This window comes from Homo sapiens, chromosome 2 (assembly GCF_000001405.40).
Source record: "Homo sapiens chromosome 2, GRCh38.p14 Primary Assembly".
Lineage (NCBI taxonomy): Eukaryota > Metazoa > Chordata > Mammalia > Primates > Hominidae > Homo > Homo sapiens.
Window position 1 is genome coordinate 170,635,938 of NC_000002.12, and position 24,015 is coordinate 170,659,952.

The following is a 24,015-nucleotide window of genomic DNA, read 5'->3' on the forward strand; positions in this document are numbered from 1 at the left end:
TTGTTTTAGAATTATTTAAGTTGTGTCAAAAATCACAACTTAGATGATCAGCTTGAACACAGGTTTTCTAAGCAAAGCTGTCTGTTTTTTTCTTTTTAGTCACAGATCGTATTATATAGTGTGTGGAATATGATTAATGCATTATTGGATATGAGCTGTGCCCCATACTTTAGATCTGACATATTCCAGTTACCTTATTATGAAGCATGTGTGTTACGATCTCTCGCCACTATCAAAGTATAAGAGTTTGTTGGCCATACACTTGGTCTTGGGCTGGTCCCAACCCAGGTGCCAATAACTGGTTCATCATGGCCAGAAACAGGCCTAGAAATGTGACTGCCTGGCCCTACTCTCAAAAACAGAGCACTTTGAAGATAACCTAACTTCCAAGGAAGGAGCCACGCTGGAAATAACATAACTGTTTGTGTTATGTTATTGAAAAGAAAAGATCTCCATGAATTTCTTTTTTTTTTTTTTTAAGCCAACTTTGACAGCCTCTTTCCTTCCAGATGGTGCCTGGAGCCAAGCCTGTCAGAGAACCTTAGTCTCCTGCTGCCTTTTAATGCTGGTCCTTGATTGCTAATGACCCCTGGCTGGACTGGCTTCTCAACCCATTTAACCCCTCTCTGCTGGGTCCCCATCTCATGCAGGATGAGCGGCCACGAGAGCTGGAAGTGGGAAGGTGCCAAGTCAGCCAGAGCCTCCCACCCTTCCAGAGCTGGTGGCGCGTTTCCCGGTGCCATCATGGATGTCCAAGATCATTCCAGTGAAGAGCTCATGTTAATATGATTTTCTCTATATTGTCAGATAAATGCTGCCAGGTTTCTGATTGTTAATATTTTATTTGACTAAACCAAGACAACCAAGTCCCTGAAAGAATGTTTCCTTCAGGGGTCAAGAGCTGAGGACCACTGATATGAGCCTCCTGGAATATGTTCATTTGGAAACTTAAAATTACATTGCACTGGAACTATCTTTTAGTTTGGTCGAACTTCATGGACAAAGCATTTGCTTTTGTGCGTGTGTGTGTGTGTGTGTGTGTGTGTGTGTGTAGGCAATAATTTCCTTGTCAAGGCTGAAATATCACTTGTATAACACAGGAGATACCCATTTCTCAGCTTTGTTAGCAACAACTGTAACCATTTACTTTTTGGTTAAGCTTGGTTTGTTTTTTATGACATATAGGAAGGTGCTTATAGCTATACTGATCAGGTAGGTCACTCAGAGTGTAGGGTTTTTTTTTTTTTTTTTTTAGATGGAGTATCACTCTGCCGTCCAGGCTGGAGTGCAGTGGCCTGATCTTGGCTCACTGCAACCTCTGCCTCCCGGGTTCAAGCGATTCTCCTGCCTCACCCTCCCGAGTAGCTGGGATTACAGGCATACGCCACCAGGCCCGGCTAATTTTTTGTATTTTTAGTAGAGACAGGGTTTTGCTATGTTGGACAGGCTGGTCTTAAACTCCTGGCCTCAAGTGATCCACCCCCCTCAGCCTCCCAAAGTGCTGGGATTACAGGTGTGAGCCACCACGCCCCACCTGAGTATAGGGATATTTAAAAGGGGTGGGGGCAGGAAGCTGCTGATGCTAATTTGTTGAGAAATCTTGAGTCCAGTGGAGAAATTCAGATCTCTTGCAACCTCCTCAGGTCAGGGAGGGCATGAGAAGTCATCATTTTATGCATTATTTCCGTAACGGATTTTTACTAATCTCATATTGGATTGTAAAACAAGGCAAAGAAATTTGGTAGTTCTCTGTGACCCTGAAGAACTGAAATTTAAATTCTTGATTAGAGCAGAGAACTGAAAGCTTTGTGCTGCCCTACTTGTACAAACGTCTTAATGTTTACTGGATAGTTGGACCAAATTGATTTTATAATGTAATGTACTTAAGAAATTTGTTCCAAAATTCGGCACAAATTAGGAAAATAACCAAACCATACCTTTCTATTTAATCTTTGCTTCTCTCAGATACTTACTATTTTCTTGGCTTTTTTGAAGATTAAGACTGAAAGATCACAACTGCATTTCTCACCACTAACACTTCATTGATTTCATTTTTACATCTTATTAATTAAATGCAAGAAAAAAATTATATTTGTGATTTTATTTTGGTCTACTACTGACATTCTTTTCTATTTCCACTCAATCTCTCTCTCCCTCTCTCTCTCTCTCTCTCACACACACACACACCTGCCAGACATTTGTAGATATAACCTCCCCCAAATCATGTCATTCATACTAATGACTGCCCTCTCTATGTGTAAAAATATTTTATAATTTATGGACCTGGGTGGGGATTTGTACAGCTGTGCAATATTAATCTATACACTGCAGGTTTTGCTAACAGCTGGGCAAAGGCTGAGGTGAGGTTTTAATGATGTCCTTTAGCCCATCAGTAACCAAATGACCCAGAAAGTGGTTCAGGGGAACCTACCTTGTGCAGCTGTGCTCTTTGAATGAATGAATCATGTTAGAATGAAATTCTGGTGTATTTATGGAGAACTTTTTCCTTTGAAGCCTAAACACATTTTGATTGGTCGTATTTAAATTCCAACAAGCTGAAAAGCAAAAGCATTTATGTCAGTTTCACAGATGAGGCTCCAAGAGGTTAACTGGCGATTACTCTGGAGTTACAGCATCTTAAAGTTGGAAGGGACTTTAAAGGGCCTCTGGGCTAATGGTTCTTACCCTTTTCCTGCCTTCACACTGGCTTCAGGCAACAGATCCCCATCAGGCATGTCTCTCACTGCACACAGATGTTCACACACTGGGAAAGAATGTGACTCCAAGGAGAGCAGCTCAGAATCTTCAGGCCAGAACATGTGTAATTTGCCACACCAATGTTCTCCATTAAAAATTACTACCTCAGTCCACCCCTCTCTTTATCATTTTACACATAAAACATGGCAGCAGAGGGGTAAGGGATTCACTTAAGGTCACATACCAATATGTGTCACAACTTGAACTATGTGTGCCGGGGTCTTCTGATCCCCCATGTCCAGTGCTGGTTTTGCTACAGCTGACCAGCCCCTTGCACACTCACAGTAGAACTGGAACTAGCTCCTCAAAGAGTGAGGCAGAGCTGGAGACGAGTGCCCCAGGGTCCCCTGCTGCAGGGAATCAAAGACCCCGTCACAATTAGCTTAGTAAAACCAACACTATCTGGTGTCCCATATCCGCAAGCACTTAAAATGTCGTTCCAATCTTCAAAGAAATTCTTTCATTCCATTTTTATCTGCTTTTACCCAGGACATTGTTTCCCAGCTCCCCAGTAGTTCACTAGGTGATTTGCATCTCATTAGAAGCTCCAGAAGTGACATCTCCCAGACTGCTGCCTGGCATTGTGGGTCCCTAAGCATCAGATCTAGGTCTTGGATTTTCCAAGTTGACACTTTTTTAAAAGCTGAGTTAATGCTGTTTTCCCACTGGGTGCAGTTTGGGTGGCCATTTTCGCCATAATTCCTGCTCCCGTGCTGGATCAAGGTTAGGGAACTGCCATTGTCAAAGATGAAGTCAGTCATCTCCACGTGAAAGTACGTGGTGGATGAGAATATTCTGGGGCCTCAGAATAAAGGAGTTTAAAGACTCCTAAAAATAGAAAGATGCTACATGATGCAGATATTCTGAACACTACACAAAGCAAAACAAAAAGACAGCAAGACAATAGCAAACCATTGCTGAAGCTGTATAATTGATTCTAAACGTTTGCCTTTTAAACATTTTCCCCTGGATCCAATCCTCCTGAGACCGCAGAGTTTTTGCCCTACATTTATATTTTGCTTTAAAGATAGTCTCCCTAGGTCAGAATGCCTTTTTGGCTTTGTCATTTCTTCATACTACAACCTCCAGAAGAGCACTGAACAGCACTGTACCTCTGGAAACCAGAGATAGTATTTCCATGGTCAGCAAAATTGTTCTCTTGGAATAAGAGAAATGATTTTCCCAGTGTCCAGGGAAATAAGGAGCCCTTATGTCTACTTTGGGCTCAAGCCATTTGATGCAGCTTCCAGCACAAAGCAAGTGCCTGATGGTGCCTAGAGCTTCCGCCATCCAGAATTCCTTTTGTCCAGTGAATACTTCCCTGAGCTTATGCCACCTTTTCAAAATGGCAGATAGCTAATCTGCAGAATTGATCTAAGCTCTTAGGAAAGGGTTAAGTCCATGGTTTTTCCAACACTGGCTACAAATTAAAATCACTGGGAAGGAGGAGGAACTTTGTTTTAAACAAGTAACAATGCCAGAACCCTACCCCTGACCAATTAAATTAGGATCTCCAGGGGTGAGGTCATGATATCTGTATTTTTAAAAAGCCCTTCAGATGATTCTAATATGCATCCAGGGTGGAGAACCACTCCAGTATAACAAGAAATACAACAGCCCCTTCGCAGCACCTGCTAATGCCTCTGGCACCATGTTTTATCTTTTCATATATTATCTGTCATTCTCACTACAACCCTACAAGGAAGGGTCATCATTCCCAAGTGAAGGCCTCTAATAAGTGCTGAGGTGGTTATCATACTCCAGTTTTTCTGACTTCAGATTCCCACCCCAACACACGTTTCTCAAAGTGTGGGACATGGGCCACTAGTGGTCACCAAGTTGACTCTTGATGACGTATGGATGTGGCATTAAATAACATAATTCTTTTACATAATTTCTTATGTAAAATAAAGTTACTTTTTTCAATTCTCAATTTAAATCCTCCAGATTACTTTAAGGAGAAAGTCTTAATGGTGCTAGTATGTCTTAAATTCCTCTCACATTTACTCATCTCTCTTTTTAACAAGCCTTTTAAGAAACCCAGAACCTTCTATAGGAAATGGAATCTAGCACAAGTGTGATGATACCATTTCACTTTCACCGTATTTACTATATAGTTCACTTCTATATATGGCAAATGACACTGGTTTTCCATTTACAGTGGCGAATAAAGTTCCAGTTTTAAAGACATGTATTTAAGCAAAAAAAAAAATCAGTTGAATTTTAAAAATATTAAATAGTAGTACAGGTGAATAAAGTAAAAAATGCCTAAGAGGTAGATACGTGACAAAAGTTTGAGAAATATTCCCCTACAACATGCTAATTTTTAAAACAGGCATACCCACACCTGTTAGCCAACGGGACTGCTCATCTACCATCCTACTCCAATAGACTGGCAACAACCTGTTCCGTCCACTTTACATCCACTCACGACCTGTGAACTTTGCTGCTGTTTCCAACTGAAGAGGAATCCTGAAACACAAATGGTGAATAAACTGGGAGGGTAGGGAACATTCAGCCTTTTCAAATAATCAATGGCATGCAAATAGAAACACAAATGAGGTGTTATTTTTGCACCTATTAAATTGTCAGACTTTTTCTTAAGAACCATCTCATGCTGGTGAGGACCTGCTTAAATGGGTAATATAGGTATAGGTGGCAGAAGTGTATTTTGCTGCACAATTTCTGGATGGCGATTGAAAAAAACAAATCATAAGTTTTTAAAATATGCATACCTTTGGCCAGTAATTCTTCTTTTAGAAATTTATCCTAAGGAATAAGGAACATTTGTCAAACACCAAACTATGAGTATGTTCCTCAAAGCACTGTTATTATAGAAAAACATTGGAAACAACTTCTGTGACCAAAATAGGAAATTATATAAATTAATCATGATTCATCCATAAAATGAAATACCATGCAAGCATTAGAAGTGATACCATTTAAGCTATCTCTGGAAGACAGATATCTCTGGAAACTTGTCTCAGCAGTTACTACTATTGTGGGAATGAGATTGGGTGTGGAAAAAAGACAAACTTTTCACTGCTTAACTTATTTGAACATTAGGTTCATTTATTACCTTTTCAAAAAGTAACTCTAAAAGAAACATACTATTTTAAAAGTTGCCTAATAGAATGGAAATATTTATGACTTTATTGTTAAGTGGGGGGGGGGGGGGAGGGGCGGGGAGCCATAACCCAAATTAAATGAATGAATGAATTTTTTAGTTAAAAAAAAAAGAATACATATTCCTGTAAAGATATTGAAAGGACAGTAATAAAAAATACTAAGGAACTTTGTTTTTAGAGACTGATTTCATCTACCTCTTTGAAACGCCTCTGGACAGTTTCCCCAGAGGTATCCCAGGATACGAAAGACCCTCTTCCTATTGGAAGCCTGGACAAAAACATCCCAATTAACCGTCTGAGAACCAAAGAATAGGCCACATAGATGGAAGAGATCTTAATAAGAATGGTGAATAGTCAGTATTCACTCATTCACTCATTCATTCATTCATTCTTCATTCATTCGTCATTTGTTGAGAGTGTGCCAGGCTCTGAGCTATTGGTTTCAGGGGAAGTTATTGCCACCTCCTTAACTAATAAGTAGAAAATTCCACATAGACAATTTATAACTCCAGCATCTTCCACAGGCACTAATTTAGCTCAGGGATGTTTTCTTTGTAGCAGTTTTGCAATTTTGAAGAAGATTGTTCATGACATAACATGGCAAGTGGGAAAATTTGTAGCTTTCCTTTCATCTTAAAAAGCAGGATCTGAATTACATGCACCCCAGGAGAAAATCTCTCTTTCTGGTTGTGTGTGTATGTGTTTTACAAAAGCCCACTGAATTCCTTAGTTCCTCCTGAAGTTAGACTTGGTGAAGTGAAAACTTATGAAAATGTCTCAGCAAAAGTACAAGCATCATAATAGAGGCCATGACCTAGGCCCTGGGATTTTGAATCAAGAATCTTGAGTTATAGCTTAGGGACCTAAGCTCCTTGAGCCTCAGACCTCTCAGATATAAAAGCAAGGAGCCAGACCACAGAGAATTTTCCTCCATGACATGACTTAAATTTGGAAATCTGAGCTACCAGGGCATACTTCCCTGTCTCCAATAACCTGAGGATCTGTTAGGCTCTGAGCATTCCTGAAATAGTCCATGCCTCAAGGCATATTAGGGACAAGGGGATTACAATACATTTCTTCATTTTTAAGGTGATGTAGATTATTGGTAGACTTTCTGCTGATATGGTTCTTATTGGGAAGGAAAGATTTAATATGGTCAAGCACAATGGTTCTTAACCTTGACTACACAGTAGAACCACCCAAAGAGATTTGAAAAAAAAAAAAATCCATGTCCAGGCTTTGACCCGGGCATTAGTATTTTAAAAGTTGAACAACTGGTATCATGTTAAAAAATACTCTCAGTTGGACTTCAAAAACCTGAATTCTCATTTGGGCTTTGCCTCTAACTGTATAATCTCTTAGTCTCACTATGCCTCTGTTATCTCTTTAGGGTTATTTGGCCTTGCTAAAATGAGATGAAGTAAACAAAAAGTACTTTGCAAAACAAGAGTTGCTATATAAAAATGAAATGGTTAGGGGAAGAGACAGAGAGCCAGAAAAGACAGGTCATGTCTTCAGAAGCTATTTCATGGGAGTATCCACTGGAGTACCATGTGCATGGTCAACCCTCATTGAGAAGAAAGATTGTCTAGCTGACAGCTGGGTTATTGTCACCTGCAAATGCCCTGAGAACCTTGGTCAGAGGAGTGATGCACCTTTCTTTATGCACAGAGTTGGCAGAGCTCTGTAAATTAATTGCACAACTCTAATCCTATTTAAATGCCCCAGGGGTATAGCTTATAACCTCATATAGGATTTGCCATCTGTAAATCTAGAACACTGAACACTCTGTTTGCTTAAAGGGGATGTTTCATTTGGCAAATGAACCTGAGAACGCCTCATCCACAAAATGGCAATCAGATCAGCAATCACACAGCTCAGAAAGTATCCGTACCTGATGAAGGACCACAGGAGGGTGCCAGGGTCTATGGCTCTCCCAGGATATTCTCTCCCTTTCTTCCCAGGACCCCTGTGCGTTGCCTGCCCATTCCTCAGGAGCCAAGAACGCATTCTGCCCCACCAAGCTGGGGAATACGTGGGCTGCATGCTCCATCCTGCCCTTCCTTGCAGTTGTCCTTCACTTCCTTCAAGCTTGCTAGGAAATTTACCAGAACTGGCACATCTGTAGCAGGTGATGAAAATGGAAACATTAAGTTTTAGAGGACAGCGTAGGAGGGGGCATGTGTAGCCAAAATAGCTGCAACTCAGCAAGTCAAATGGAGTAGAAGAAGACATTTTCTTCTTCATCTCTGAAACCTTGGAAGACGACAAAAGCCTCATTTGTGACTTACAACTGTGCATGAATTAGGGTTGCCAGATTTAACAAATAGAAATGCAGTACACTCAGCTAGATTTGAATCTCAAATAACCAATCATTTTTTAATATGTCTTAAATATTTCATGGATGTAATAAAGAATTATTGGTTGTTTATCTGAAATTCAAATCTATCTAACTGTGTGTCTTTTTTTTTTTTCTTTTTTGAGATGAAGTCTCACTCTTGTCACCCAGGCTGGAGTGCAATGATGCGATCTCAGCTTACTGCAACCTTCACCTCCCAGGTTCAAATGATTCTCCTGCTTCAGCCTCCCCAATAGCTGGAATTACAGGTGCACACCACCACACACAGCTAATTTTTGTATTTTAAGTCAAGACAGGGTTTCACCTTGTTGGCCACGCTGGTTTTGAACTCCTGACCTCAGGCCATCAGCCCACCTCGGCCTCCCAAAGTGCTGGGATTACAGGCGTGAGCCACTGCTCCGAGCTGAGCCACCGCACCCAGCCATGTCCTCCATTTCATCTGGCAACTCTAGCTTGAGTATACTGGCATGTTCAATAAAGAGAAAAGAAAAATTAAATTTACAAACCAGTTGTTTGAATTTATGTGACAGATTGACTGAATTCAGCTATTTGTCTCTCACCAAGGGCTTGGGCACATGTGCAGCCACAGTGTGACAGTTTGGGATTAGGAAGTAAGGAGTAGGCATTTGCCAGTGCTCCTGAAATGCTATCCAGATTTCTTCCATTTTCTGACAGATTTAGCTCCAGTTTATTATAAAGTTCTATAACAATTCAGAAGAGAAAGATGTGTTAAAGTTCTCAAATATGAAATCAGAAGGTGCAGGGCAGGGGGTTGGGGGGAGGTGCAAAGATTCTTGAAAAGGAAAGAGACCTATGTTAAATGCAAACTGGTATTCATAACATAATATACCTTTAAAAGCCCAGTAAGGAGGTAGTTGCCAATGTACGACAAAGTGGGGAGTTTGGTTTGTCTCATGGGCATCTATGCGAGGTAGAAATAAGCCACTTTGAGAATATGAGCATTATGGTCCTCAAAGTAAAAACTCACATTCTAATGTGAATATTCAGGCCGGGGGCAGTGGCTCACGCCTGTAATCCCAACACTTTAGGAAGCCAAGGCAGGTGGATTGCTTGAGGTCAGGAGTTCGAGACCAGCCTGGCCAACATGGTGAAACCCCATCTCTACTAAAAATACAAAAAATTAGCCAGGCACAGTGGTGGGTGCCTGTAATCCCAGCTACTCAAGAGACTGAGGGAGGAGAATCGCTTGAACCCCGGTGGAGGTTGCAGTGAACTGAGATCGTGCCACTGCACTCCAGCCTGGGTGACAGAGCAAGGCTCCGTCTCAAAAAAAAAAAAAAAAAAAAAAAGTGAATGTTCAAACTTGAGTTGCCCAGTTTCTCTACATAAACTAATCAAACGAACTAGGTAACTATCCGATAACCATACTGTTTTATATCTTAATGCAAACTGACTGGCCCAAAATCCAAAAGACAGGGTTCAAGTTTTCACTCTGCCGCTTACAAATTTAGCCTTTTCTGGTTATACTTTCTTCATATATGCAAAGAACTAACAATTTTGGTACTATGTGCCTTATTGATTTTTTAGTATTTAAATTTTCAAGGGAAAAATCATGATAAACTTCTTAATGCATGTACAAGCATAGATTTAGTCAATGTGCTATATGTTATTTTGTATTTTACTTCTTTTTCCAAGTTTTGAATTTTCTTCTGTCAACATCATACACATTTATCGCCGCTTTGTCAGTGACTCAAGATATGAAACAATTTTTATATCTGAGTTAATTTCTTCTCGATTATTAAATATGTATCATGTTTCTAGCTTTTTTACTGCTATAAAAGTGTTATGGCTGGGCACGGTGGCTCATGCCTGTAATCCCAGCAATTAGGGAGGCTGAGGCAGGTGGATCACCTGAGGTCGGGAGTTCGAGACCAGCCTGACCAACATGGAGAAACCCCATCTCTACTAAAAATACAAAATTAGCCGGGCGTGGCGGCACATGCCTGTAATCCCAGCTACTAGGGAGGCTGAGGAAGGAGAATCGCTTGAACCTGGGAGGCGGAGGTTGCGGTGAGCCGAGATCACGCCATCGCACTCCAGCCTGGGCAAGAAGAGCGAAACTCTGTCTCAAAAAAAAAAAAAAAGTGTTATGTCTGTCTGTCTTCATACAAATTGGGTTTTTTTTCTTTTGGTTTACTTCATTGCAACGTATTCCTTGGAACAAGTTGCTTAGTTCTGGGGGTTTTTTTCTGGGTTTTTTTCTTTTTTTGGAGACCAAGCGTCACTCTATTACCCAGGCTGGAGTACAGAGGCGCGATCTCGGCTCACTGCAACCCCTGCCTCCTGAACTCAAGGGATCCTCCTTTCTCAGCCTCCGGAGTAGTTGGGACCATAGGTGCATGCCAACATGCCTGGCTAATTTTTTGTATTTTTTGTAGAGATGGCACTTCGCCATGTTGCCTGGGCTGCTCTCGAACTCCTGAGCTCAAGCAATCTGCCCGCCTAGGCCTCCCAAAGTGTTGGGATTACAGGCGTGAGCCACCGTGCCCAGCCAGCTCTGTTTATTGCCAAGTTGCACTTCAGGAGGCAGGGAACCTGTGGATTGTCCTGTTTCTCTGGGGCCCCTCCCACATTGTCTTTTAACCTTATGGTGTATGAATTAATAGAGAAGCAGTAACAATTGTTAAATTGAAGCTGTTCGTCAGGATAGTTCAACATTTTTCAGTATCTCGTTTTCTAACTATATTTCTCTGTCTCTCGCCTCAGCCTTTCCACATTACGGATGTAACTTTTATGGGTATATATCTTTCAATTGTTTTTATCTTTCTGTTGTACTTCCTTTCATCTTAGTTTTGTTACTGTCCATCATATGGAACGTTTTACTTTAATATAATTAAACGCATGCATGTCACTAACGTCTTCTTATACAGCTGAGATACTCCATTTCTTTCTAAAGTTTTTTGGAGAATGTTTAAAATTCTCAATATATAACTCATCTCGAATTTATTGTGGCCTGTGAGAATCAAGAAATGTATTGAGAAGAGTAAAGGATTTAGAATTTTAAAAACTAAACAATTTGAGTCCAACAGCACTAGCTTAAACGGCTTTAAAGAAGTCACTTAACATCTTAAAACAGTGTCCTCTACTAGATTGAAAACAGGGACTTTGTCTTATTTCTCTTCGTATTTTCCACAAAATCCAGCAAAGTACACTGTGTATAGGATAAATGTTAATATGTCTGTATTTAAGTTATATTTTTGCATATTGCCATTAAATTGTTCCAGTAGCATTTATTAAATAATGGTCTACTTCCCAACTATTTATTCGGTTGCTTACAATGGATCATTGTATCAGTGACACTCAGATTTCTTCCAATGGCAAAGCACCTGGAAGTTACAGCATTCTTTGCAGAACATTGTGAAATATGGAAAAATTAAACTTAAAATAATGAAAATTAAAATCTGATGCTAAATCAGATAACTAGCTTATACCAGATTCTAGTATAGTGTAGAAACCATAAGATTAGACACCAACAGTTGTTTTTAAGTAATGGGAGAAATATTAAAATTAAGAACATTCTATCCAATAACTTAATTCCTTATAAGAATCAGGAAAAAAATAAAAGCCAATGAAACAGCAAGTTCGTCAAGAACAAAAGTTGAAAATCATATCGTATATAAAGCATTACCAGTTGAGACAATATAAATAAAAACCTCTGATAAAATGTAAACACTATATAAATATGAAGTCCAGCTGAACTAGGCTGAACTCTAGTTGAACCCAAAAACTTCTTAAGATCAGTCTTTTGAGTTACCATGGACGGAATTCCTGCCGTATTAGAAAGTCTGAGGGAGAGTGGATGTCAGACCTCCAGAGCATACTTCACACCAGCAGCCGGACCTAAGGACACTTCTCTTCATTGATCTATAAATCAGAAAGGAGATGACACAAAAGGGACTCACAGCTTCACATTCTACCATATTGCAGAGTATGGACTTCACAAAGCAAACAAGGAGGAGGTATGTTGGAACCGTCAGAAAGAACCGCTGTGTTCTTTGTGTTCTGAGGACTTTGCCAGCACAACAGGCTAGATTCCTGTGCTCTGCACAGTGATCATGAAGAGGTGGATGAAAATGTCTGTTAAGGCTGTTGGACCTTCTGCAAGCAACATTGTTTTGCTATGCTAATTAATATGTTTTCATTGAGGCCAGACATGGTGGCTCATGCCTGTAATCTCAGCACTTTGGGAGGCTGAGCTGGGCAGATGACTTGAGGTCAGGAGTTCGAGACCAGGCTGGGCAACATGATGAAACCCCATCTCTATTAAAAATACAAAAACTTAGCTGGGTGTAGTGGTATCTGCCTGTAATCTTAGCTACCTGGGAGGCTAAGGCAGGAGCATCGCTTGAGGCGGAGGCTACAGTGAGCTGAGATCGTGCCACTGCACTCTAGCCTGGGTGACAGAATGAGACTCTGTCTCAAAAAATATGTATATATATTATATTCTATATAATATATATTATATTCTATATAATATATATTATATTCTATATAATATATATTATATTCTATATAATATGTAAAATATATATTATATTCTATATAATGTATTATATATAGAATATAATATATTCTATGTATTCTATAATCTATATAATACATATTATATATTATATAGAATATTATAAATAATATATTCTATATTATATATAGAATATATTCTATATGTTTATATTCTATATATTATATATGAAATAGTATATAAAATATATATAATATATATAAAATATGATATATAATATATATAAAATAATATATAATGTATAATATATAAAATAATATATAATGTATAATATATAAAATAATATATAATGTATAATATATAAAATAATATATAATGTATATTATATAAAATAATATATAATGTATATTATATATAAAATAATATATAATGTATATTATATATAAAATAATATATAATGTATATAAAATAATATATAATATATTATATATAAAATAATATATAATATATTATATATAAAATAATATATATTATATATAAAATAATATATAATATATTATATATAAAATAATATATATTATATATAAAATAATATATAATATATTATATATAAAATAATATATATTATATATAAAATAATATATATTATATATAAAATAATATAATATATATTATATATAAAATAATATATAATATATTATATAAAAATATAAATATATTATATAAAAATATAAAATATAAAATATTACATATAAAATATATATAATATATTACATATAAAATATATAATATATAATACATATTTTTTTCATCGAACTTACTTTTACTTAAACCTTTGACTTTAAAAAACATTTCTTCTTAAGAAAGGCAATATCTTATAAGCTGGGCACGGTGGCTCATGCCTGTAATCCCAGCACTTTAGGAGGCCGAGGAGGGCAGATCACTTGAGGCTAGGAGTTCGAGACCAGCCTGGCCAACATGATGAAACCCCATCTCTACAAAAAATACAAAAATTTGCTGGGTGTGGTGGTGCACACCTGTAATCCCAGCTACTTGGGAGGCTGAGGCAGGAGAATAGCTTGAACCTGGGAGGTAGAAATTGCAGTGAGCCAAGATCACACCACTACACTCCAGCCTGGGCAACAGTGAGACTATCTCAAAAAAAAAAAAAAAGGACCATATGCTATAGTGTAAAAAAAAAAAAAAACAAAACACCTATTGGAACAAGAAGTAAGAAATCTAGGGTTGGGTACCCACCTGGCCACTTGATCTGAGATGAGCCATTCAATTTTATGGGCCTCAGTTTCTCTTCTGAAAAAAAAAATGGGTATTTAGAATGGATGGATGTGATAGTCTTTTTTTTTTTTTTTTTTTTTTTTTTTTTGTGAGACAGAGTCTCACTCTGTCACCCAGACTGGAGTGCAGTGGCGCAATCTTGGCTTACTGCAACCTCTGCCTCCCAGGTTCAAGTGATTCTCCTGCCTCAGCCTCTCAAGCAGCTGGGACTACAGGCGCCCGCCACCACGCCCAGCTAATTTTTGTATTTTTAGTAGAGATGGGGTTTCACCATGTTGGCCAGGCTGGGTTCTGATAGTCTTGTCCAAATATAGATTTGTCCCAATTCAAGAAAAATCAAGATACAAAACTTTATACTTAGGGAACAAATATTTTGGTATTAATAATGGACCTTGCTAAGTCACTCTCTACTTTAAAAATTCCCCCAGAATTTTTTTAAATCGTGGAAATCTCTGGTGAAGTTAAAATATGATACCAAGTAAAATCTCCAACTCTTTTTAATGAATAGTTTATAATAAACACTCTGTCCTCCAGGATAGTGATAGCTTTTCTCTAAACAACAACATTCATGGACAATATTCTATGACAGAGGTGTGTGTGTCTGTGTGTGTGTTGCCAAGAAATTAGAACTGCTGAATCCTGATTCAGATATAGAGCCAAAAGGACAGTAGATCCAAAAAATCATTTGCTTGGAAGGGAAATGAATTATGACTTTTTTTTTTTTTTTTTTTTTTTTTTTTTGAGATGGAGTCTTGCCCTGTTGCCCAGGCTGGAGTGCAGTGGCACGATCTTGGCTCACTGCAACTTCCACCTCCCGGGTTCAAGCTATTCTCCTGTCTCAGCCTCCCGAGTAGCTGGGATCACAGGTGTGCACCTCCACACCCAGCTAATTTTTGTATTTTTAGTAGAGACGGGGTTTCACCATGTTGGCTAGGCTGGTCTCGAACTCCTGACCTCATGATCCACCCGCCTCAGCCTCCCACTGCGCCCAGCCATGAATTATGACTTCTTCTGACTCGTGGTTTCTTAATCTCCAGGGCACTCTTGGTCCAGGGTTCTGAAATCAGGACAAACAGGGAGAGACTGCTTCATGTAATCGTGCAATCATCCTTTCTCCTTCTCTTTTACACTACCTCCAAAGACTGCATGCATCAGTGGTATTGTTCAAAGCATTTCAGTAAATTTTAGCTCAAGCCATTTCCCCCCCGACAAAATGTATCCCACCAAAAGGTTTGCTTCTCACCTCCCCAAGAGTATGTGTGCTCCAGATGTTTTTGAACTCTCATTGCAGGATGTGGTGCAAACAATCCCAGATTACTTTGGTTGTCCTAACATAGTCATGCCACTAAGGGCACCCTACTCTATAAATGCTGACCACCAACTTATACTTCACCAATGTGGAAACAACAACTTGCTTTCTGTCACCCTGGACTGCTGATTCAGATCAGAAAGCTGAATGCAAAGTTACAGACAGTGGCCCTTGTTTACACTTAGCAATCTGTGTGTATTTTTTAGGATGGCATTTCTCCTAATATTAGTAAAGCTTTTAATATGCCCATTAAAATAGGACACAGTTTCTACTAAGTGCATTTATGTGAAGAGCCATTTTTCACTTAATTTTCCCAACACCTCGGACAGTTTACAGCAAAGTTTTGCTCTTTTTTCAGGTTCAGAAAATGGTCTTGCACAGAAGCATCGAACACCTCGCCGACGATGTCAGCAGCCCAAAATGCTGAGTAGCCCTGAGGACACCATGTACTATAACCAGTTAAATGTGAGTTCAAAGTGGCCGTAAAGCTGTTTCACTGGCTTTGTTTCCAGTTAATAATTCTGTTATTACTACCTGTTCCAGCCCCTGCAGCCCCACCCCCACCCTCATGCTCTCGTCTTGAACATGTGCTTAGGCTCTTTATCTGTTGCTTTCATGTCAGGATGTCTGCCTTCACGGTGAATAATTGATGTGGTTTATCAAAGACGAGCAAGATGCATGCTTCATCAGGCTCACTTGAGCCCTTTGATCAAAAAAAATTATGCTGTGACTTCTGATATTATCAGCATCTGCTTGCATTCAACACAAAATCACTTTGAATTAAAAATTAACGACTTGCTGCTTTGCTTTGACTGTGTGTTCTTGGCCCTCTCCACAGGGAACTCTAGAATATCAAGGGAGCAAGAGGAAGCCAAGAAAACTTGGGTAAATATCTGTCTTCTTAGTTCTAAGCAACTGTAAACAGAAGGGGTCCTTTGTGATATTACAGAAAATGCAAAACTTTCCAGAGAGGCTTCTAAAAATATGCAATCCAGATATTGCCACTCTTATTGACATTGGAAATTACTTTTCACAGTAGCAAGTATACAAAACTTGAATCTATTCTGTCCAAAAAGGTTGAAATTGTCACCTAAGGGCAAATGTTATTTCTCATAATTATTCCAGGGAATTGTACTTTCTTCATAATTAGAGACATGTAGTGGGTTATATAAAATTCTCCTTCCACAAATAAGAGCACTCTACGAAGTACAAATAGGCCACTTCCTCCACATTATCCTACCCCTGGGCCTTAAAAACATGGACAAGGAGAAACATGCCCAACTGGTTAGATAGAGGATAGTAAGGAATTTGTCGTTCATTTGATAGTTAGCATCTCAATTGAGAACAGCAATGAAGTACATAATGGTAATAATTAGAGAATTGGGGGAGGTCAGGAGGAAAACTTTCTCATCTAGAGGGAACCAGATGGAGACAGAGTTCAATCCCATAAAGCAAGTTGCAATACGACCACAACTTCCAGACACCACAAAACTGGACCCACTATCAGTGCACGACCCAAAGGTGAAGGGCTTTGTAGATCAGACCCTGGTACCTCTGTACTGGGAGACCCTGAGCTACCTAGGAGCTGTCCTTCCCCTCCAGTGTTGGAGCCCAACCCTGTTCCAGCTACTCACATGACTTTAGCTGCCCCAGTGATGATTGTAACATTTGTTTTATTTTTTGTTGAAAATCCTGTTGTTTTCTTTGTTGCAGCCAAATCAAAGTACTTGATGGGGAAGATGAATATTACAAATCTCTGTCACCAGTGGACTGTATCCCTGAGGAGAACAACTCAGCCCACCCTTCCTTTTTTTCTTCATCCTCAAAAGGAGACTCTTTTGCTCAACATTAAATTGTGCTTCCTAACCCTAAATCTGTCCAGAGTAGGAACATTCATGGTAATCGACTGTCTGTCATTGCGTAAGAAAGCACTGATATGGGGTCAGCTTCTTTGGACATATGGTCCATGCCTGAACCTTACTGAACCACTTGCAGATTCCAAAACATCTTATCCTATCCTCTACCACTCTCCCACATGTGTTGTGCAGCCTGAGCTGGGCGCTGCCTTCCTTTCTCATCCCATGGGGCCCTGTGGGACACTGAGAACACCTTTACAATAGTTTAAACAGTCATTCATGCCCCCAGTGTCTAGGAAGATAACAGCCAGTCTCACCCCAGTCTAATCATGGACCCTGATAATATTGCTTGATTTTTCCTATCAAGTTACTTTTCAATCCATTCAGAATCTGCCCCAGTGGAGACCCAGGAGTTCCTTTCCTGCACTCTTCTCCATCCTCCCACCTTTGCTGGGCTTTTCTATCACTCCCACCTCCCCCAGAGTCAGGGCTCCATTGCTGAGTGCCCCATCCTGGAGGATTGGCCCCAAGATCTCCTAGAACAGGATAATTGCCTGTGTTTAGGCAGATAGGCCTAAATCTTTCAGATTCTTTCTACAAGGCAAATAACCCCTCTCTTGTTAATTATGATGCTGAGAAAGCCTCTGTCTCTTTATTTCACCTTGCCAAGACACCCACACTACTTTGGTGATGAAAAGAAAGGAATGAGAGGGAAAGTTTGGACCTGTCACTTTGGTGACAGGGAAAGTCCAGGTCACTTTATTCTGTAACTCTCCATTCACTGGTCAAATAACTCCATGAGGCTATCAGTGGCTACAGTGGAAGGACCTGATCTTGTCCATCTTTGTGTGCACAGAGCCTAGCACAGGGCTTGGTAGAGGGTATATCTAGTGAATGGAGAATACATGGAGAAACTTAACTAAGTTACACAAGCATATCTGACAGGAATGTTACCTTCAATTGTATGTTACATATGATTAGTCACTTTTCATACACTATAACCTCTGATTTTTCACTCAAGTTTGGGCTGATTATATTGTAATGATGTTAGATAATACTCAACATGATTCAGTATGACAAACTTTTTTGAGCACCTACTTTATATAAAACATGACAAATTGCAGTGTGATGTAATCAAAAACAAAGAAGCCCTATAAGACCATTTCTCTAGAACAGATGTTCTTAATATTTTTCTTACTCTAAAATATGTGGTAGATAGTATGCAAGAAAAGCCGGGTGCGGTGGCTCAGGCCTGTAATCCCAGCACTTTGGGAGGCCAAGATGGGCGGATCATGAAGTCAGGAGTTCGAGACCAGCCTGACCAACATGGTGAAACCCCGTCTCTACTAAAAAAAATAATGATAATACAAAAATTAGCCCAGCATGGTGGTGCATACCTGTAATCCCAGCTACTCAGGAGGCTGACGCAGGAGAATCACTTGAACCCGGGAAGCAAAGGTTGCAGTCAGCTGAGAGCGCACCACTGCACTCCAGCCTGGGCGACAGGGCAAGACTCTGTCTCAAAAAAAAAAAAAAAAAAAAAAAAAAGAGATAGTATGCAAGAAGACACCTAAATTTTGAGAGAAATAACCTTGAAGAAAATCTTGTTATCAGAGTTTTGAAAGGGAGCACATTAATAGGCCTTTTATGAAGATAAATAATGAAATGAGGTATTTAAAGATCTCAGAAATTGTAATTTTACAAGTAAAATAAATATAGCCAATTTTTCAATAGCTGAACTTCACCCAAAAGGTAATGTTTATAAGTAGAGCAGAAAAAATGCAGATAAATTTTATTTTATTGTTTAAAAAATAATGTGTAGAATATATAAATTTTTTATGTTACTGTTAATATACGAGTGCTTTTGGAAGTTTCACTTTTGTCACTGATTGTCTACTTTTGGTTTGATAATATGAGCTGCTTTTCAAATTGTTGAATGGAAATGTTCATAACTCCCTGCTTGTCCGTGCACAATGTAATTCTAAACCTGGCTTGTTTCTCATTTAAATATATCTATAAATAAACTTAAAAAGAAAACAGAAGTAATTGTGGAATCATAATCCAGAAGCTCTGCATAGTTAAGTCATTAATACAGCCATACTCCTAAGAGTACTTTAGAAATGATGTTCACTTTCAGTCACAGTATAGAGAAGACGGACTGTAGACATTATTCTTGGGCTAGTCACAGTACCAAAACTCAAAAAGCAATTCTTTTTTTTTTTTTTTGAGATGGAGTTTCACTCTTGTTTCCCAGGCTGGAGTGCAATGGCGTGATCTCGGCTCACTGCAACCTCCACCTCCTGGGTTCAAGAGATTCTCCTGCCTCAGCCTCCCTAATAGCTGGGACTACAGGCATGTGCCACCACGCCCAGCTAATTTTGCATTTTTAGTAGAGACGGGGGTTTCTCCATGTTGGTCAGGCTGGTCTCGAACTCCCGACCTCAGGTAATCTGCCCGACTTGGCCTCCCACAGTGCTCAGATCAAAGGCGTGAGCCACTGTGCCCGGCCTCAAAAAGCAATTCTTAAACCAAGCAGATGAGAATGATGCAACCTGGAATCTTGTAACTTTTATTAGATTTATCAAAGTAATATGCACGTGACAAAAATCAAATAGTCCAGAGGGTTTATAGTGGAGAGCAGTCTTCTTCTCCATGTGCCTCTCTCCAGGAAGCAATCATTGTTTAAAATTATTTCCAACTCTTCTAACGGTTGCTAGCATGCCTCTGAATAATTTGCTTCTATCTTCTTGATTTGTCATTTTAGACAATATTTAATCTCCCCCTTATGAAAAATGTAGATTTGGCCTGGCACGGTGGCTCATGCCTGTAATCCCAGCACTTTGGGAGGCCGAGGCAGGTGGATTGCCCGAGGTCGGGAGTTCAAGACCAGCCTGGCCAACATGGAGAAACCCCATCTCTACTAAAAATACAAAATTAGCCAGGCATGGTGGCACATGCCTGTAATCCCAGCTACTAGGAAGGCTGAGGCAGGAGAATCGCTTGAACCTGGGAGGTGGAGTTTGCAGCGAGCCAAGATCGCCACACTGTACTCCAGCCTGGGCAACAGAGCAAGACTCTATCTAAAAAAAAAATAAAAATAAGTAAAATAAGAAAACCAGCAGACTGAACAATGTCAAGTCAAACAGAAATGATTCTGGGAGTAGGACATTTTTTAAAAGTTCCACTGCAGATATTTAGTGTTCATATTTTGAGCTGCTGCTTCTTCCATTTTGGTCATTTGCAGATATGCCTTCATCTACTTTTTTTAAACTTTTTCTTTTTTTCTTTTTTTTTTTTTTTTGAGACAGAGAGTCTTGCTCTGTCACTCCAGCTGCAGTGCAGTGGCGCAATCACAGCTCACTGCAACCTCTGCCTCCCGGGTTCAAGCAATTCTTGTGCCTCAGCCTCCTGAGTAGCTGGGATTACAGCCATATACCACCACACCCAGCTAATTTTTCTGTTTTTAGTAGAGATGGGTTTTTGCCATGTTGCCCAGGCTGGTCTCAAACTCCTGGCCTCAAGCAGTCCACCTGCCTTAGCTTCCCAAAGTGTTGGGATTACAGGTGTGAGCCACTGCACCCGGCCCAAACTTTCTTTTCAAATATAATACATATCCAGAAAAGGGCACAAATCAGAAGACTGAGCTCAATAAATTATCAGAAAATCAACGCCCATGTAACCATCCTCCCGTCTAGAACAGAGCATTGTTAGCACCTAGAAGCCTCTCTCCAGGCTCTTGCCAATTACCACTCCTGTCTGTGCCTCCCCAAAGATAAACATTCTCATGACTTTATTGGTAAACACTTCCTTGATTGTCTTTATAGTTTTATACTTACATGCATTCCTAAACACTATAGTTAGGTTTTGCCTCATAATTAGGTTTGGAGAACTCTATATAAATGGAATCCTACAGTAAATAATTTTTTAGGTCTTGTTTCATTCAATGTTGCATTTGCAAGGTTCATCTATGTCATGGAATGTAAATGTAGTTTGCTCATTTTCATGTCTGTGTAGTATTCTAGTAGAAGAATATGACATAATTGATGTAGTCATTCTACCTTTTTTTTTTTTTTTTTTTTCTTTTGAGACTGAGTCTCACTCTGTCACCCTGGCTAGAGTGCAGTGGTGTGATCTCGGCTGACTGCAACCTCCGCCTCCCAGATTCAAGAGATTCTCCTGCCTCCTCAGCCTCCCAAGTAACTGGGATTACAGTCACCTGCCACCATGCCCAGCTAAGTTTTGTATTTTTAGTAGAGACGGGGTTTCACCATGTTGGCCAGGCTGGTCTCGAACTCCTGACCTCAGGTGATCCGCCAGCCTCAGCCTCCCAAAGTGCTGGAATTACAGGCATGAACCACCGCACCCGGCCAGTCATTCTACTTTTAATGGATGAATATGAATTTTTTCCAATTTGGGGCTATTTTAGAACTTGCTGCTGTGAACATTATTGTATCTATCTCTTGGTGTCTATTTTTGCATGGTTTTCTGTTGGCTATATACCTAAGATGAGAGTTGCAGAGTCATAAGGTATACATATCTTTACTTCAGTACAGAATGCCAAACTGTTTTGCAAAGTAGTCATACCAATTTACAATCCTGTTAGTGGTATAAAAGAGCTCCCATTCTGCATTCTCACCAACTCTTGCCAACTCTTCGCCTGTCATCTGGGGACTCTGATGGGGTGCTGAATCCCAGAATCTCACTGTGATTATAGCTTATATATCCCTCATTAATAATGATACTGGGCACATTTTATGTATTTTGTGCCCAACTTAGATAACTTTTATAACATGACCATTTTGAATTAGTTTAACCATTTTTTTCTTTTAATGTGAAGAAACACATTATATGTCAGTCATATGTGTTGCAAATATTTTCTCCACTAGGCAGCTTACGCTTTCATTCTTTTAAAGTGCCTTTGATGAGAAAAAAGTATGTAGTTTTAATGTGGTATAATTTATCAATCTTTTCCTTTTTTTAACTTTTATTTTACGTTCTGGGATACACGAGCAGGTTTGTAACATAGGTAAACTCATGTCATGGGGGCTTGTTGTACAGATTATTTTGTCACCCAGCTTTTCCTTTTTGATTAGTATGTTTTTATGGTCTGTTAAGAAATCTGGTGGCTCACACCTATAATCCCAGCACTTCAAGAGGCCAAGGTGGGCAGATTGCTTGAGCTCTGGAGTTCGAGACCAGACTGAGCAAAACCCAGTCTCCACCAAAACTACAAAAATTAGCTGGGTGTGGTGGCATGCACCTGTAGTCCCAGCTACTCGGGAGGCTGAGGTGGGAGGATTGCTTGAGCCCCAGGAGGTCAAGGCTGCAGTGAACTGTGATTGCACCACTGCACTCCAGCCTGGGTGACAGAGTAAGACCCTGTCTCAAAACAAACAAACAAACAACAACAAAAAACTTTTCCTACCCCAAGGCCACAGAAATACTTGCTTTTAGAATCTCCTGGGAGCATTATTGTTTTGCCTTTCACATCTAGCTCCTCAACTCCCCAAAATTGATTTTGTGAATGGTGTGCAGTGAGGGTCAATTTTCATGTTTTCTATAGGGTTATTCAATTGTCTCAGCCCCATTTAATAAAAAGGCCATTATTTTCTTACTGCTGTAAAATACTACCATTTATGTAAGTCAAGTGTTCATGGGTCTGTTTCCAGATTCTCTATTCTGTTCATTGATTTATTTGTTTTTCCTTGTCTTAAATACTATACCTTTATAATAGGCTTCAGTATATGGCAACAAAAGGCCTCCAACATTGTTTTTCTTCTCCAAGAGAAACTTCCCATTAGTCTGGGCCCTATGTATATTATGGAATCAGTTAACATCTGAAAAACAAAAGCTGTTGGAGGGCCAGGCATGGTGGCTCATGCCTGTAATCTCAGCACTTTGGGAGGCCAAGGCAGGAGGATCTCTTCAGGCCAGGAGTTGGAGACTACCCTGGGCAACATAGTGAGACCCCATCTCTACAAAAATAATTTTTTTTAATTAGTCAGGCATACTAGCATGGATCCTTTCAGGCCAGGAGTTGGAGACCACCATGGGCAACATAGTGAGACCCCATCTCTACAATAAAAAGTTTTTTGTTTGTTTTTGAGAGAGCCTCGCTCTGTCACCCAGGCTGGAGTACAGTGGCGCAATCTCGGCTTACTGCAACCTCCACCTCCCAGGTTCAAGCAATTCTCCTGCTTTAGCCTCCTGAGTAGCTGGGATTACAGGTGCCCGCCACCACACCCAGCTAATTTTTGTATTTTTAGTAGAGATGGGGTTTCACCATGTTGGCCAGGCTGGTCTTGAACTCCTGACCTTGTGATCCTCCCACCTCGGCCTCCCAAAGTGCTGGGATCACAGGTGTGAGCCACCATGCCCAGCCAAAAAAAAGTTTTTAATTAACCAGGCATGGTAGTGTGCACTTGTAGTCCCAGCTACTTGGGAGGCTGAGGTCGGGGGATCATTTGAACCCAGGAAGTCTGCAGTGAGCTCTGGACTGTACACTGCACTCCAGCCTGAGTGACAGAATGAGACTGTGTCTCTAAATAATACTAATAATGTTAAAACTATTGGGATTTCTTTGGAATTATCTTGAATTTATAAGTGAATTTGAAAGGAATCGTCATGTTTACAATATTGACTTTTTCGATCCATAAATATGGCATATCCTTCCATTTATTTAGTTATTTATTCCTTTTTGTCTCTAAATAATGATGTATACTTTTTTTTTTTTTTGAGACAGAGTCTCGCTCTGTCACCTAGGCTGGAGTGCAGTGGCATGATCTCAGCTCACTGCAACCTCTCCCTCCTGGGTTCAAGTTGTTCTC

General features: G+C 39.7%; 1 protein-coding gene and 1 long non-coding RNA gene across 25 annotated transcripts in view, besides 1 other annotated feature; one reads left to right on the top strand and one right to left on the bottom strand.

Moving 5' to 3' along the window:
• MYO3B (myosin IIIB) overlaps positions 1–19,230 on the top strand; it is a 477,021-nt gene extending 457,791 nt beyond the window's left edge. For 9 of the 11 annotated variants that reach the window (NR_045682.2, NM_138995.5, NM_001083615.4 and 6 more), the window contains 3 exons: positions 15,691–15,797; positions 16,171–16,217; positions 17,046–19,230. Coding sequence is in view for 8 of the 11 variants with exons in the window: in NM_138995.5 (NP_620482.3) it covers positions 15,691–15,797; positions 16,171–16,217; positions 17,046–17,184 (293 nt within the window). In the remaining 3 variants the exon portion in view is untranslated. Of the gene's footprint in view, positions 1–10,971; positions 11,003–15,690; positions 15,798–16,170; positions 16,218–17,045 lie in introns of all 11 variants that reach the window. The other 2 variants (NR_045683.2, NR_045684.2) reach the window with 1 other exon arrangement.
• The window catches only part of LOC100130256 (uncharacterized), a 96,216-nt gene that overhangs the window by 20,146 nt on the left and 52,055 nt on the right, over positions 1–24,015 (bottom strand). For 2 of the 14 annotated variants that reach the window (NR_187623.1, NR_187621.1), the window contains 6 exons: positions 13,985–14,038; positions 12,020–12,129; positions 7,780–8,007; positions 5,493–5,526; positions 5,105–5,229; positions 2,432–2,555 (listed from right to left, as the gene is read on the bottom strand). This is a non-coding gene — a long non-coding RNA (uncharacterized LOC100130256). Of the gene's footprint in view, positions 1–2,431; positions 5,230–5,492; positions 5,527–7,779; positions 8,008–8,548; positions 8,707–8,804; positions 8,946–12,019; positions 12,130–13,984; positions 14,039–18,585; positions 18,704–24,015 lie in introns of all 14 variants that reach the window. The other 12 variants (NR_187617.1, NR_187618.1, NR_187620.1 and 9 more) reach the window with 12 other exon arrangements.
• Positions 15,773–16,318: an enhancer, noted in NCBI's record as "NANOG hESC enhancer chr2:171508220-171508765 (GRCh37/hg19 assembly coordinates)". NCBI's record gives its function as "activates a minimal SCP1, AML or CMV promoter by ChIP-STARR-seq in primed H9 embryonic stem cells {active_cell/tissue: H9 hESC(primed)}" and the evidence as "EXISTENCE:reporter gene assay evidence [ECO:0000049][PMID:30033119]".